This window comes from Homo sapiens, chromosome 6 (assembly GCF_000001405.40).
Source record: "Homo sapiens chromosome 6, GRCh38.p14 Primary Assembly".
Classification (NCBI taxonomy): Eukaryota; Metazoa; Chordata; class Mammalia; order Primates; family Hominidae; genus Homo; species Homo sapiens.
In genome coordinates, this window is record NC_000006.12 from 16,460,900 (window position 1) to 16,476,688 (window position 15,789).

Here is a 15,789-nt window from a genome sequence, read left to right on the forward strand (position 1 = left end):
ATACAGATAGCAAGTATGCTTATCTAATCCTACATGCCCATGCTGCAATATGGAAAGAAAGGGAGTTCCTAACCTCTGGGGGAACCCCCATTAAATACCACAAGGAAATTATGGAGTTATTGCACACAGTGCAAAAACCCAAGGAGGTGGCAGTGTTACACTGCTGAAGCCATCAAAAAGGTGAAGGAGAAAAGGCAGAAGGAAACCACTGGGCAGATGCTGAGGCCAAAATTGCTGCCAGGCAGAACCTCCCATTAGAAATACCTATGGAAGGACCCATGGTATGGAACAACCCCCTCCAAGAGATTAAGCCCCAGTACTCCCTGATCGAAACAGAATGGGGACTTTCACGGGGGCATAGTTTTCTCCCCTTGGGGTGGTTAACGGCAGAAGAGGGAAAGGTACTCATATCCGAAGCCAGCCAGTGGAAAATACTTAAGACCCCCTGCCAAACTTTTCACATGGGTTTGAGAACACTCATCAAATGGCCAAATCCCTATTTATGGGGCCATATCTCCTCCAGACCATCCAACAAGTAGTCAAAGCCTGTGAGGTGTGCCAAAGGAAAAATCTCTTGGTCCATCGTAAGGCCCCTTTTGGGGAACAAAGAATAGGTCACTATCCTGGAGAGGACTGGCAGTTAGACTTCACCCATATGCCTAAGTCAAGGGGATTTCAATACTTGTTGGTCTGTGTTGACCAACCAAATTGGATAGAAGCCTTCCCCTGCAAGACGGAGAAGGCTCAGGAAGTGGTTAAAGTACTAACTCATGAAATAATTCCCAGATTTGGGCTTCCCCAAAGCTTACAAAACGACAATGGTCCGGCTCTTAAAGCCACGGTAACTCAGGGAATTTCCAGGGCACTAGGGATACAATATCACTTTCACTGTGCCTGGAGGCCACAATCCTCAGGGAAGGCTGAGAAGGCAAACGAAACACTCAAGAGGCACTTAAGGAAACGAACACAAGAAACTCATCTCCCATGGCCTACTCTCTTGCCCATGGCCTTGTTGAGAATCCAAAATTCTCCTCACAAAATGGGGCTCAGTCCATATGAAGTGCTGTATGGATGACCTTTTCTCACAAATGACCTCCTACTTGATCAGGAAACGGCCAAGTTGGTCAAAGATATAACTTCTTTGGCAAAATACCAACAAAACGTTAAAAACCTACCCAAAGGATGTCACAGAGACAAGGGAACAGAGTTGTTCCAACCAGGAGATTTACTGTTGGTCAAGTCCCTCCCCTCTTCCTCCTCATCTATGGATTCCTTGTGGGAAGGACCATACTCAGTAATCCTCTCTACCCCCACTGCAGTTAAGGTGGCAGGAGTGGAATCTTGGATTCACTACATGCGAGTTAAACTTTGGACACCCCCTGAAGAACCTGTAGGACCATCAGCTCAGGAGTCCCAAGATCAGCCAGACCAGCCTCGATAAACCTGTGAACCATTGGAAGATTTGTGTCTCCTATTTCAGAAGGAAACATCCCAGACTAAAAAGGCCCCTATAGCTGATCCTAAGGAAAAACTCTTTCCTATTTAAAAAGGATAAGTGAAAACCTACATAATCTTTAACACCACTCCTTGCCCCTTTAATGGAATCCTTTTACAGTTTCATCACATTATTAAGCAGTATACTAACCATTCTCTTTGCAGCAGGACTATATACTGTAGCTCCTGCCGGGACAAAAATCCTAATCACATCAACCTTTTTTACATGCAATCCAGCTTTTACGCTCTTACATTTCCAACCTCACCTATTACATGAGCAATGAAAAGCCCTGTAACCGTGAATACCATCTTAACTTTCCAAGCCCCGTTATGCATCCAACGCAACCTGTTATCAGGCCTGCCCCTGGGGCACCTACTATCCCATCAGTGTAATTACACTCTCCAACTTCAAGCCCCAAATGATCATAGTAACTTCCAAGGCACCCAAACCGCTCTATTCAGATGGCTTGTCCGCTTCTCAGGGCCCCCAAAAATCATCACCTCCTCCCTGCTTAACAAACAGTCCAGGTTTTGTAATGGCAAACATACTCCCTGTATGACTATTCACCCCTGGACCCCCTGCAGCAGCACCCCCACCACTAAGGAATACCTTCTCATCCTCTCTTTCAATCACTCTCTTGAATGGTTCCTAGTAGATACAAAACAGTTTTTTCTCCAATGGGAAAATAGAGCACAGGGAGTCACTCAGTTTGCTCCCAACACCCCTTTCCAGCCACTCACCAGACTACCTTGGCAAGTACTCTAGGAGTATGGGAAAATGAAAACAACAAACTCACACACCTTTTTAACATACACAACCAGTTCTGTCTACCCAGCCAAGGCATATTCTTATGTGGAACTTCAACTTACATCTGCCTCCCCACTAACTGGACAGGCACCTGTACCTTAGTCTTCCTAAGTCCCAACATTAACATTACCGCAGGAAATCAGACCCTATCAGTGCCCCTCAAAGCTCAGGTCCGTCAGTACAGGGCCATACAACTAATACCCCTACTTATACGGTTAAGAATAGCCACTGCTACAGGAACCAGAATAGCCAGTTTATCTACTTCATTATCCTACTACCACACACTCTCAAAGGATTTCTCAAGACAGTTTGCAAGAAATAACAAAATCTATCCTTACTCTGCAATCCCAAATAGACTCTTTGGCAGTAGTGAATATCCAAAACCGCCAAGGCCTAGACCTCCTCACTGCTGAGAAAGGAAGACTCTGCACCTTCTTAGGAGAAGACTGTTGTTTTTACACTAACCACTCAGGGATAGTACAAGATGCTGCCCAGCAGTTACAGGAAAAGGCTTCTGAAATCAGACAATGCCTTTCAAACTCTTATACCAACCTCTAGAGTTGGGCAACATGGTTTCTCCCCTTTCTACGTCCCATGACAGCCATCTTGCTATTACTCACCTTCGGGCCCTGTGTTTTTAACCTCTTTGTCAAATTTGTTTCCTCCAGGATCGATACCATCAAGCTACAGATGGTCTTACAAATGGAACCCCAAATGAGCTCAACTCACAACTTCTACCAAGGACCCCTGGACTGACCCACCAGCCCTTTGGCCTAGAGTGTTCCCCTCTGGAGGGCACTACAACTGCAGGGCCCCTTCTTCACCCCTATCCAGCAGGAAGTAGCTAGAGCAGTCATCACCCAGTTCCCAACAGCAGCTGGGGTGTCCTGTTTAGAGGGGGGATTGAGAGGTGAGGCCAGCTGGACTTCCTGGGTCAAGTAGGGACTTGAGGAACTTTCCTGTCTTACAAGAGGATGTAAAATGCACCAATCAGGAACTTTCCTGTCTTACAAGAGGTTCGTAAAATGCACCAATCAGCACTTTGTAAAATGCACCAATAAGTGCTCTGTAAAACGCACCAATTAGTGCTCTGTAAAATGCATCAATCAGCAGGATTCTAAAGGTAGCCAATCGCAGGGAGGATTGAAAAAAAGGGCACTCTGACAGAACAGAAATGGAACATGGGCAGGGACAAATAAGGGAATAAAAGCTGGCCACCACAGCCAGCAGCAGCAACCCACTTGGGTCCCCTTCCACGCTGTGGAAGCTTTGTCCTTTTGCTCTTCACAATAAACCTTGCTACTGCTCACTCTTTGGGTCCATGCCATCTTTAAGAGCTGTAACACTCACCATGAAGGTCCGCAGCTCCATTCTTGAAGTCAGCGAGACCATAAACCCACCGGTAGGAACCAACTCCAGACACAAAAAGACATAGAGGAAACTTACACGCATATTGCCACATGAAAGAAGCCAATGTGAAAAGGGTACATACTGTATGATTCCAACTTTATGACATTTTGGAAAAGGCAAAGCTACAGGGATAGTAAAAAAAAAAAAAAAAATCAGGGGTTTTGGGGATTGGGAGGAACAAATAAGCAGAGCACAAAGAGTTGTTAGGACACATGTCATCTATTTGTCAAACACAGAATGTACAACAGGAAGAATGAACTCTAACATGAACTATAGACTTTAGTTAATAATAATGTATCCATATTAGTTCAATTTCAACAAATGTAAGATGCAAGATGTTAGCAGTAGGGACACTGTTTGTCAGGGGTCGGGGAGGCTAGGAATATAGGAACTCTTTGTACTTTCAAATCAATTTTTCTGTAAACCTAAAACTGTTCTATAAAAAAGCCTATTAATTAAAAAACAAAAACAACAACAACACTGCACTGACAGCTGTTTGAAGTGTTCCTCCCAGGTGTCCTTCCAGATACTAGCTAGAGCCAAGTGGAATTAATCAGGCAAGGTGCAACGGCTGGGTGTGGTAGCTGATGCCTGTAATCCCAGCACTTTGGGAGGCCAAGGCAGGTTGATCACCAAAGGGCAGGAGACCAGCCTGGCCAACATGGTGAAACCCCGTCTCTACTAAAAATAGAAAAATTAGCTGGGCATGGTGGCAGGTGTCTGTAGTCCCAGCTACTTGGGAGGCTGAGGCAGGAGAATTGCTTGAACCCAGGAGACGGAGGTTGCCGTGAGCCAAGATCGTGCCACTGCACTCCAGCCTGGGTGACAAGAGTGAAATTCCATTTCCAAAAACAAAACAAAACAAAACAAAAAATCAGGGAAGGTGCCATAAAGATGACTCCCAGGCAAGGTTTGAAGGGCTAGAGGAGAGCCAGTTTTTTGGCCAAGAACTAGGAGGATGCAATGATTCAGATGGGGATGAGGGCAAGGGCAGGGTCTGGGGTGGGATGAATGCATGGGGAAGAGTAGTCAGCAGAGCATCATGTTTGACCGGAAGACAAGAGCCACAAGCCTCCAGTTCTTTAGCAGAAGAACTGGAGGTAAAGATAGGTGCATCAAAGATAGCCTGTGATTAGGAGGTTAAAATGAAATCTGAAAGACAGAGTCACTCCAGACTCTGGGAAAGCTCATGATGCAATCAAAATGATGTACCAAGAGGTGTCTCTGCTAAGTCCGGGCCACATAAAGACATGAGAGATGGGGAGGCCCACTACAGGTGAGGTCATGAGTCCTTGCTTTGAGGGAAAGTAAACAGAAAATACAAGGATTCTAAGGGAATGCATAATTTCCAAGAAAAGTCATAGCGAACTGTGTCCAGGAAGCTGAGATGGAAGAGGAATAACTTCTTAAAAGTACTAAATGTGGCCAGGCGCGGTGGCTCATGCCTGTAATCCCAGCACTTTGGGAGGCCAAGGCGGGTGGACCACAAGGTCAGGAGATCGAGAACATCCTGGCTAACACAGTGAAACCCCATCTCTACTAAAAATACAAAAATTAGCTGGGCGCAGTGGCAGGTGCCTGTAATCCCAGCTACTAGGGAGGCTGAGGCAGGAGAATCGCTTGTACCCAGGCGGGGGCAGAGATTGCAGTGAGCCGAGATTGCGCCACTGCACTCCAGTCTGGGTGACAGAGTCAGACCCCATCTCAAAAAAAAAAAAAAAAAAAAAAAAAAAAAAAAAGGCCTAAATGTCAGGAGGGAACCCAAGAGGATAACTCTCTATCAAGTAGGGTTCCTAGATTTCTTCTCTTTCAGAATTCTCATCTGATCATATTTAGGATAGCGCAAGAGGGCAGTACAATTGATATTGGCAGAAAAGAGAAAAGGGGGCATATCCAACTGGTGAAATCGAAGAACTTTCACTCTTACATTCATATACTGGAAAAGTCAGTAGCCAGAAAAATATTTTGAAAATCTGTAATAATTCAGATGGAAAGACATTCACAACTTTTGCAATGTGAGAGAAGAAATTTCGGAAAAGTAGATCAAGCACGATTCTATTTCTGTAAAGCTACATGTATTTATTTGTATATATATATATCCATAGAAAATCTTCTGGAAGAAAACACACTCAAATGCTAACGGTGGTGAACATCTATGGGCAGGTAGATAATAATGACATGGCAGATTTTTAATATTACTAGTTTGTATTTCCTTAATTTCTCTTCAAGCTATTACAGAGAATCCATGTAAAAGACTAATGTTTTCAATGAAAGGATTAATGTTCTTTCCATCTCATAACTCAAGTTTCCAATAACGTCTTCCTCGCTGAGGGTAGAATAGTCAGTGCCTTACACAAAAGCCAGTGTTTGCATTAAATGACTGTGGTGCAGCCTCGCATAACATAAATGACTTCAACAGCCACATCCTGATGCACAAGGGAAAACAAAGGAATGGAAATTTCAAAAAGCTAAAGTCACAAAAAGTAATGGAAGGAGTAGTAACAACAGCAGCAAAGGGAAATGCCCTGGGCGGGGAGACAGACCCCCACCCACACATCCCCAGCACTTGTTTTCTTGACTCTGGAGGCGCTTTCTTGATTAGTCTATTTAAAAAAATGTTATTGTTTTAAAAATTGTAGCTAAAAATAACATCAAAATGCACAACATATGCAGAAACACCCCATGATGCAAATTATGTATGAAGAGGATGCAGCGATGTGGCCGGGAGTTAGCATGAAGCGTGGTTATTCTATCACGGAGATATGCTCCTCATCCACAAACCAGAGGGACGCACGGTCCAATCACCAGTGTCAGGTTTTACTGTTTGGTTTTATTTGTCAAAACTACTGCTTTACATGCAGAGGAGGGAGGAGTGTGTGTTTCTTCGGGTGGGGGATGGAGGGAGCATTATAGAAGAACACGCATCCCAGTGACAGTATTTTTAAAGACTCTATCTACCATCTTTTCTGAACTAACAATTTCACCTTGAAATCTGTTACAATAAGTACCTTTAATCAAAAGCCATTTGTTTTCCATTCTTTTCTATGGGCATACATTCACTATAGCTATTTACTGTAGTTCATTATTTCAGCATATTGCAATTATCATTGTTGTAGCCTTCAATCCTATTGCATTAATGTAGGAGTATGAAAAAGTCAGAAAGGAAAACTTAAAACAGTTCATTTTAAACTGTATTGCCTGTTAACAACCCTGTCCAAAATTTTAGTAGGTAAAAAAGCTGAACCACTGCCTACAAGAAGACCAAAAGATTGTCTGAAGATTCCATTTAGTACTTGTTTCCTGTTCTCTGTAAAACACGGATATTCTCTTGGTAAAGACATTCCATTTCTATTTCTATCTAGTGACCATCGAATATGTTGTAACTTGTTTACCTATTAAATAGGGAATTATAGCAATAATCATAGGAATTGCAGTGGCAGTAACAATAAAAACCAGAATAATAATTTGTCTCCTATTTGCCTTCATAGTAACATTACTAAGAACTAATAAACTCTGAGGCTAGAGACTAAAGTAAGAATTTGGTTTAGGACTGGTTTTTATTATTATTTTTATTTTTATTTTATTTTATTTTGAGACGGAGTCTCACTCTGTCGCCCAGGCTGGAGTGCAGTGGCACGATCTTGGCTCACTGCAAGCTCCACTTCCCAGGTTCACGCCATTCTCCCGCCTCAGCCTCCTGAGTAGCTGGGACTACAGGCGCATGCCACCACGCGTGGCTAATTTGGTTTTTGTATTTTTAGTAGAGACGGGGTTTCACTGTGTTAGTCAGGATGGTCTTGATTTCCTGACATCGTGATCTGCCCGCCTCGGCCTCCTAAAGTGCTGGGATTACAGGCGTGAGCCACCATGCCTGGCCCGGACTGGTTATTACCTTATAAAGGGAAGTACCATCAAATTGTTATCAGAGTAACTTGTTTCCAGGGAAGCCACTGTGGGATGAATGAACAGTCACTGGAACCAGTAAGCGAGTATATGCTATCCCTGGGCTAGGAGTTGCTGGTATATACTGAAGTACACAGTTACAAATCAATGCAAAGCAAATTAGCCAAAAGAGGCAAAAGTCACTCCCCTTTCTAAGCAGATTGTTAACAATGTCCTAAGAGAATGCAAGCATTTAAAAACTGTACATGGCTGATATTGGAAATATTGAGATTTAGAGCAACTAGAGAAGTTTTCAGATGCTTGAGAATATACATTGAAACATCACCTTACTTTTGAACAGAACACAAACTTACTTAGATCGATGCTTCTTCTGAATAGAAGCAGAAAAAAAAAAAAGGTAGGACTGTGATAGAAAACTATTTCAGAGGTTGATCCACTCATCTGGACCAAGTCCCTGCACCTAAAAATACAGGAAGTTAGATTTTAAGGTTTCTAAAATCTGCCAAAACTGTGCAACAGAGCTGGCCCTTGGCTGTCCAAACCTTCTAGAAAGGCAGAGTTTTAAAATGCACTTACACCGTGGGCACCCAATAAATGCTTGATGAATAAATGAGTGAAATGAATGAATGAATGCATGAAAGAATGAGTGAGTAGCTTATTGAAAGTTGTCTGTGACATTCTATTAGGGCCTGAAAAACCAACAGCAATTATACAAGAGTCTTGCCCTTAAGAAGCTTCTATTCTATCAGGAGAAGCAAAAATATAAATAAGTTTAATACAGTGTGATACTTGCAGTAATAATGCAAGACCTTATCAGGGAGCAATTAGTGAAGAACTAGGCAAGGGGTTAAAGAAAGCTTCTAAGATAGGATCTAATTAAACAAATTCACACCAAGGTGCTAATATCTTATCTGTGGCCTCTGCCCCAGGATCATTTGCATTTTAATAGAAAACTAGCTGATGGCTTTGCTTGATACTTGAGGACTGAACTACTATTAGTAGCATTTCAGGCCTCAGGAAAGAGGTCAGCAGAAAGGATGCTTCAAATAACACTACTAGGCAGAAAGTCTACCTACAGTTCTATCATGAAAAAAGGTTCAAAGTGGGTAGATGCAAGGCTTCTTCAAACACTTGTATCTAATAAAGACGTGAAAGAGAGTTGGTGAAGACTGGGTGCGGTGGCTCATGCCTGTAATCCCAGTGCTTTGGGAGGCCGAGGCAGGCAGATCACCTGAGGTCAGGAATTTGAGACCAGCCTGACCAACATGGCAAAACCCTGACCCTACTAAAAATACAAAATTAGCCTGGTGTGGTGGCGGGCACCTGTAATCCCAGCTACTTGGGAGGCTGAGGCAACAGAATTGCTTGAACCTGGGAGGCAGAGGTTTTGAGCCGAGATCACACCACTGCACTCCAGCCTGGGCAACAAGAGCAAAACTCTGTCTCAAAAAAAAAAAAAAGAAAAAGAGAGAGTTGATGAATGGTTTCAAAGAGTTTCAAAGAGATATTTGCACACTCATATCCATAGCAGCATTATTAACAATAAACTAAAGGTGGAAGCAACCCAAGTGCCCACTGATAGATGAAGGATAAGCTAAATGTGGTCTACACATACAACAGAATATTATTCAGTCTAAAAAGGAAGGAAATTCTGACATGCTATAGCACAGACAGACCTGAAGGACATTATGCTCAGTGAAATGAGCCAGGCACAAAAGGACAAATACTACATGATTCCACTTATATGAGCCACTTACAGTAGTCAAAATAATAGACAGCAAGTAGAATGGTGGCTGCCGGGGGCTAGGGTGGAGGGTAGAGCATTAGTATTTTATGGGTCTAGATTCAGTTTTGCCAGAAAAAAAGAGGTGTGAAGACAAGACAATGGAGATGGCTTCACATCAATATGAATGTACAACTATACACTTAAAAATGGCTAAGACAGTAAATTTTATGTTATGTGTACTTTACTATAATAAAAAAAACTGGAAAATTATGTTGGTGAACTATACCATAGCTTTGAAACTTACATGCAAAGTTATCTGATTATTATTATGTTAGCTATTTTATATGGAAAGTTATTGGACAGAAGTCAGAATGGGTAGTTTAGACTGATTAGGTAGACAGCTGCTTGCTTCCTAATCTGTTTGAAAAATGACACCCAAAAGATCTCCCCTGGGATCAGCTGAAATCACCATTAAAAAAATTCAGGCCATGCTTGTAATTTCAGCACTTTGGGAGGTCAAGACAGGAGGATCACTTGAGGCCAGGGAGTGTGAGTCCAGCCTGGGCAACATAGTGAGACTTCATCTCTATAAAAAATAATTAAGAGAAAAATTAAATCCTTCCAACCCTTAGCCTTTGAAAAATGCAATTATCCTAGCCAAGGTCTCTATCAGCTTAATGTGAGTGTCTCAACAAGACTGTTTTTCTCCACAGGCCAACCAAGGTACCTAGACTGATGTGAGGCATTTGGAAGAGGGGAAAGATTCGTCTGGAAAGGGAACAGAGAGTGACCAGCCACTGAAAGGACAGGCAGGAACCACTGGAAACAAACTGCGCCTACTTTGAAATTTCCCCCACAGCACAGATGACCTTTTGCCACAAGTTTTCATACAAGCTTTGCTTTCTCATTCCAATAATCTCCCTGCTATCTGAAAGACTTCTGGCAATTAAAACACACACACACACACACACACACACACACAATTCAAAACTTGAAAAGGGCTTCATCAGAAGATGAACAGGTCTTCTGCGAAATAATTCCCAACCATCACAATGTAAGTTAATCACAGGAAGTAATTTTGAATTTTCAGTGTCATCCTGAAACTGAACTATGGTTAGTAATTTGAGATTGAGATGAACGAAGTAAATGGAGATGCCTTAGAGCTCGGCATTCCTGAGTTTGCTGCAATGAGTAGTTAAGTTTGAAGAATCTAGATATGTGAATGATGTAATAGATAAGGCAGACAGATTGGATCAGAGGGGTTTTAATATTAAGATAAGTGACAATGATAGCTCACAGTCATGACCTTATGCCTATATCATAGAGTGACACTAGACAGCCAGTGAAATGCAAAGCAGCCATGTGCCCTGGATTAGATTCGCACCTCTCTGTAGCTGGGCAGCTTTCAGTAGAGCATGTCAGGAGTGTGCGTATGTGTGCATGCATGCGTGTGTGTGTGTGTGTGTGTGTGAGACAGAAAGAGAGAGAGTCTGTCATTGTAATATACAGGGAGTTTACATAAGAGAAGGTTGGAAGAGCAACAACAATTTGAATTAAGGTAGCCTATTTTTCTTTATAAGACACTCGGAATACCTAACAGGCCTTAACTTCATCAATCTCCGCACCATCTGTCAGACCTTAGGTTACAGTGACCACCCCCATGCATTAATCAAGAAGAGGCAACCAAGTGTGTAGCTTTGAGAAAAGTTCTGCTCTTTCAGACTTGACTGTATTATTAAAATTTCTAAAAAGGTAAACAACAGGAGGTGGTTTTAATCACAGTGTTGACTTTGATTGCATACCCATGTCCCTGGCAGCTTAGAATGGTTACAGCGCTTAAGGTAACATACAAAGTGCAGATGAGTAAGAAAAGAACCTGACAAAACTCAGTGAAATAACACGCAGGTGGCAGCATATGCACACCTGCGTCTTCACCCCACTTCCAAAAATAAGAAGATTCTATTTTTTTTTACTGTCTACTCCATACACTCTAGAACAGATTACATACATATTTATAAAGAGAAATGTATTGTTTCAATATTTTATGCAAAACTTCATGTAAGGTCATGTGTTTGTACAGCACAAAACATGGAATTGGGTATCTCTCCAGTCACCTATAAAGCTGAGCTCATCCCTTCTTCTGGCACTTGTTCTATACTGTGTTCTGGAAGCCAGACCAGATTGAACACAGCAAACCATATCTTCCTTTCAGTATAGAATGCAATGAGTCAGTGTTTATGCAATGATCTGCTATTAAAGCAAATAAGCAGAATCAGGAATTCCAAAACATGCCATGTTTTCATTTCCATTTCACATGAGTATAAAGCTCACCAAATTTGGGCACTTTAAATTATGAAGTCTCCTATCACACACTTCTTTATCAGTCCTCCACATAATTGTTTAACTAAGACTCTGATAAAAATGTCAAAAATGCTTGCCATGGTTCTCAGCAGCAAACAAATGCCTGCAGGCTCCGAGCATGCCCTGGGGTTTTTCAAACCCTCTCCTGTCTTTGAAAATGCATCCCATTCAGTTAGCAGTGCTGGTGATAAGACATGGCACGCAGAGGGTCTAAACCACCACCCCTAAAGGTGCCAGAGCAGAACCCTGCATTGAGTTTAATGCTGACAGAGCACTCCAATCAGTCAGTCTGTTCGAACTCTTTGATTGGAGAAAAGGTCAGAATCTGAGCTACAAAAGTGGCCTGCCTGCCCCTGGAAGATTAGGTCCTGGGTTTTTAGTTTTCCTTCTTGTCTTCCTCTGTTCCCACAATTCCCATTTATTTTCAATTATTTGGTTAGGGAAGGTGTCCCTCAAGGAAAAGAGCATAGGAATGAAGGCTGCCTGCCCTACTTGTAGACTCTTCTGTATGTTCTTTTTTAATGAAAAAAATTAGAAAACTTGGCAAATTATTATCTGCATCGCACACATTTTGATGCTCCCCTCCCTCAATTTTACCTATAAAAGATACCACTTCCAACATTTGAGTTATAACCCCAAGGACTGAAAAATACCCAGCCACTCCGACCCGATATCAGGCAGTTTCAGTGACAACAAACTGGTCCCCAAACGTACCGGTGAAAACCACACGTTCTCACTCTTGGCGACTTGAATTTGGTGAAATGAAACAGTCATTTCTATTTTTGCCTTTTGAAAGAGTTATGCTTAAAGGTGTAGTGAAAAGGTCAGATCTGGAAATTAATGGGTAAGCATGGTCCTATCCGAGGTCAGAGAAGCATTTTGAGAGTGCCCCAGAGCCTTTAGAACACATTGTTTATTTTGAGGTCAAAGGGAAAAACATGTTGGAAGGAAAAGAGTCTTTGGCTGGGTGATGACAATGACAAGAAGACACTTCCAGAGACTGGAATCTCTTTGACTCAGCCCCTTGGTAGGTGTTTATTTAGAACCCAAGGACATTGGAGTCTGGCAGGATCCCACAAAGGAGCGAGGTGAGGAACACTGGTGGAGTTCTCCCACCAGATTCATACGGATATTGCTGATGACCTGAGCCTCTGTCTTTTCTGCTCTACCTTGAAGGGCCTCCAACCTCTTTTCTGGTCACATTGTTCTGAAAGTACACGTCAGCTTTGAGCCACCTCTCAGTCAAGTCCTTCCATCTTCTCCTATGCTATCCCTGGGTCATCTCTTTGGAAACTTCCTGAATTGTCTAGGCTAACGAGTGTTTTTAGGCTTCTACCACCTAACCATGTCTCTACACATCTCATTGATCATGTCAACATCCTGCTTAAACTCTTTCAATGACCACTCCCCTGTCTTCAAGATAAACTCTAAACTCCTCAGCAGAACTTACTGAAAAGACACTTTATGATCTGGCTTTTTCTTCATGAGACTTCACATATGCCTGACTCCAGCCACTCCAAACTACTTGCTGTCTTCCAACATGCCATGTTCTCTCTTACCTTTGAGCTTTGCTCATGTTGTCCTCATGTGACTAGAGCTGGAGTTTCCCCATCCTTTGAACTGAACAAATTAAGTAATTTGCTTTGGTTAAAGGGAAATTAGCAAGCATCTTGAAGCAGAGCTTGAAAAGCACTCATGCACTGGGGCTTGCCCTTTCTTGCTGCTTTTGGGAACCCTTAGCCTGCAAAGTGAAGAAGCTCAGACTAGTCTACTGGAGGATGAGAGGCCACCTGAAGCAGAGACAAGCTGTCCCAGCTGAAGATCACCCATCTCTCAGGCAAACCAGCCTTCTAGTAGCTATGTGAGTGAGACCATGCTGGATTAACCAGTCCCAGCCAAGCTGGCCCAGACTAAAATAGTCCAGGTGACCCACAATCATAAGATTGTGGTCTTGGCCCTTAACTGTTGGGATGGCTTGTTACACAGTATATGCTAACTGATACATCCACTTTGTTTTCTGGTTAACATCTACTCCTCATTCAAGTCTGAGGATGAAAGCTTCCCTGATCCCAGAAGATGCCATGCTGGTCTGCATCCATGGCAACCTGTGGGTACCATTAGGAGAGAGCTGGTCATGGTGTAAAGGAATTGCCTGTTTTCTCATTTCTTTCCCCAGTGACTGAAAGCTCCTTTAACTACTGTAGGTGCCTAGCCTGTAGCATATGTGTGTGCATACACACACACACACACACACACACACACACTCTCTCTCTCTTTCTGTAAATATTTGCTGAAAGAAGATACAAGAATGTAGATATCCATCTTCAGGCTTTCTTCTATCCTAAATTTCAAAGAATTAGACTAGACTGTTTTTACCTATCACCACCTAGACACGGTAACCACATCAAAATGTATTTTAATGTTTTACTTTTTCAGAGTTCTACTCATATCAACAGCCTTTGGGAATCTCCCTACTCCTTTTATAGATGAGACTATTATAGTTTCCAAACTCACTGTGCCTTTCAGTTTGACTAATACTATAAAATTCACCTAAAATTCCAAGGGCCCTCAGCATATGCACATGGATAATTCTGACAAATGTGTCACCTTCACTGTCATAATTATTCTACTATATACATGTCAAGGAAGCAGAAGGTCTTAACAATACATAACCGAATTCACTGTCAGTGTAATGACAATGACAGTTAATGACAACTCCTATTATAGCAGAAATGTCTCTACAACAAAGAGATGAGCAAGTTGCAACTGCTCACCTGTTCACTTCAGCAACGCATCATGATAGATTTTGTTGTGTGAAATTTATCATAACAGCATCATGGCTGCCACAGTTATTAGGGAGCAATCACTGGGCTAAAAACTTAACAGACTTTATCGCATTTAACTCTCTTAACAGGTCATCAGGGTAGGTGTGGTCAGACCTTCTTTATAGATGAAGTAAATAAGGCTCAGAGAAGTTGGGCAATTTCCCAAAGGACACACAGCTACTGGGTGGCAGGTCTGAAATCTGAACCCAAATGTGATTCAAAGAGTCTCTTATATGAACTAATACTTTAAATCTGATGCTGTTAAGTGGCAGTGATAATGATCTTCCTTTGGAAGATAAGGAAATAGAGGCACCCAGATAGAGAGTAGCTTGCCACTGGTCTAAAAGGGCAGGGATGGGAAGAGAACCCAGGTGTCCCTTCTTAGCCTGAGGTTCCTGCTACTGGACAGAGCCCAAGGTGTCCCTATCTTCTCCTTAGTCATTACTTTTTTTTTTTTTTTTGAGATGGAGTCTCACTCTGTTACCCAGACTGGAGTGCAGTGGCATGATCTTGGCTCACTGCAACCTCCACCTCCCGGGTCCAAGTGATTCTCCTGCCTCAGCCTCCCGAGTAGCTGGGACTACAGGCATGCACCACCATGCCCAGCTAATTTTATATATATTTTTAGTAGAGATAAGGTTTCACCATGTTGGCCAGGCTGGTCTTGAACTCCTGACCTCAGGTGATCCACCCGCCTTGGCTTCCCAAAGTGCTGGAATTACTGTGCCTGGCCTAGTCATTAATATTTTGATTAACGCCTACCCCTGTGATCAACGACAACTTATTCAGGAAGAAGGGTTCTTTCTACTCTAGTATGCTTCCAGTTATTTACTGTGTATCTAGCTAGGTTGTGAAAAGAAAAGAATATGAAGCACGAAGTTCATGAAACCTAACTGGTCTATCATCTACTTTACCAAATTTCTTCTAAAAAAGCAACCATCAAACCCAGAGAAGAATTTGAAGCTTCTAACTTTAATGCCATTCACATTAGTTGTATTTCTTATTCATATGAGAGAACTATCTTTATGACCTGTGCACTATAAAGAATGATGAGTATTTAAACACTAAGTGTTGAATTAACAGTTATATAATAATCCAAAAAAAAAAACAAAAAACAAAAACTGTACTTCTCCACTGTATCAAAATGTACTTAATAGGTATTTATTGTTTCAGGAATATACAATGTCTTCTATCATTTAAATCATTTTGTCAATTTAAAATAATGACCTGGCTGGGCACACTACACCCTGTCAAACAAAACT

At 42.2% G+C, this 15,789-nt stretch overlaps 1 protein-coding gene across 3 annotated transcripts in view, besides 3 other annotated features; it reads right to left on the reverse strand.

The window, feature by feature from the left end:
• ATXN1 (ataxin 1) overlaps positions 1–15,789 on the reverse strand; it is a 462,349-nt gene that overhangs the window by 161,788 nt on the left and 284,772 nt on the right. The gene's annotated exons all lie outside the window — the stretch shown is intronic.
• Positions 12,277–12,356: an enhancer, noted in NCBI's record as "active region_24106". NCBI's record gives its function as "activates an Ori minimal core promoter by ATAC-STARR-seq in GM12878 lymphoblastoid cells {active_cell/tissue: GM12878}" and the evidence as "EXISTENCE:reporter gene assay evidence [ECO:0000049][PMID:35858748]".
• Positions 14,027–14,076: an enhancer, noted in NCBI's record as "active region_24107". NCBI's record gives its function as "activates an Ori minimal core promoter by ATAC-STARR-seq in GM12878 lymphoblastoid cells {active_cell/tissue: GM12878}" and the evidence as "EXISTENCE:reporter gene assay evidence [ECO:0000049][PMID:35858748]".
• Positions 14,097–14,266: an enhancer, noted in NCBI's record as "active region_24108". NCBI's record gives its function as "activates an Ori minimal core promoter by ATAC-STARR-seq in GM12878 lymphoblastoid cells {active_cell/tissue: GM12878}" and the evidence as "EXISTENCE:reporter gene assay evidence [ECO:0000049][PMID:35858748]".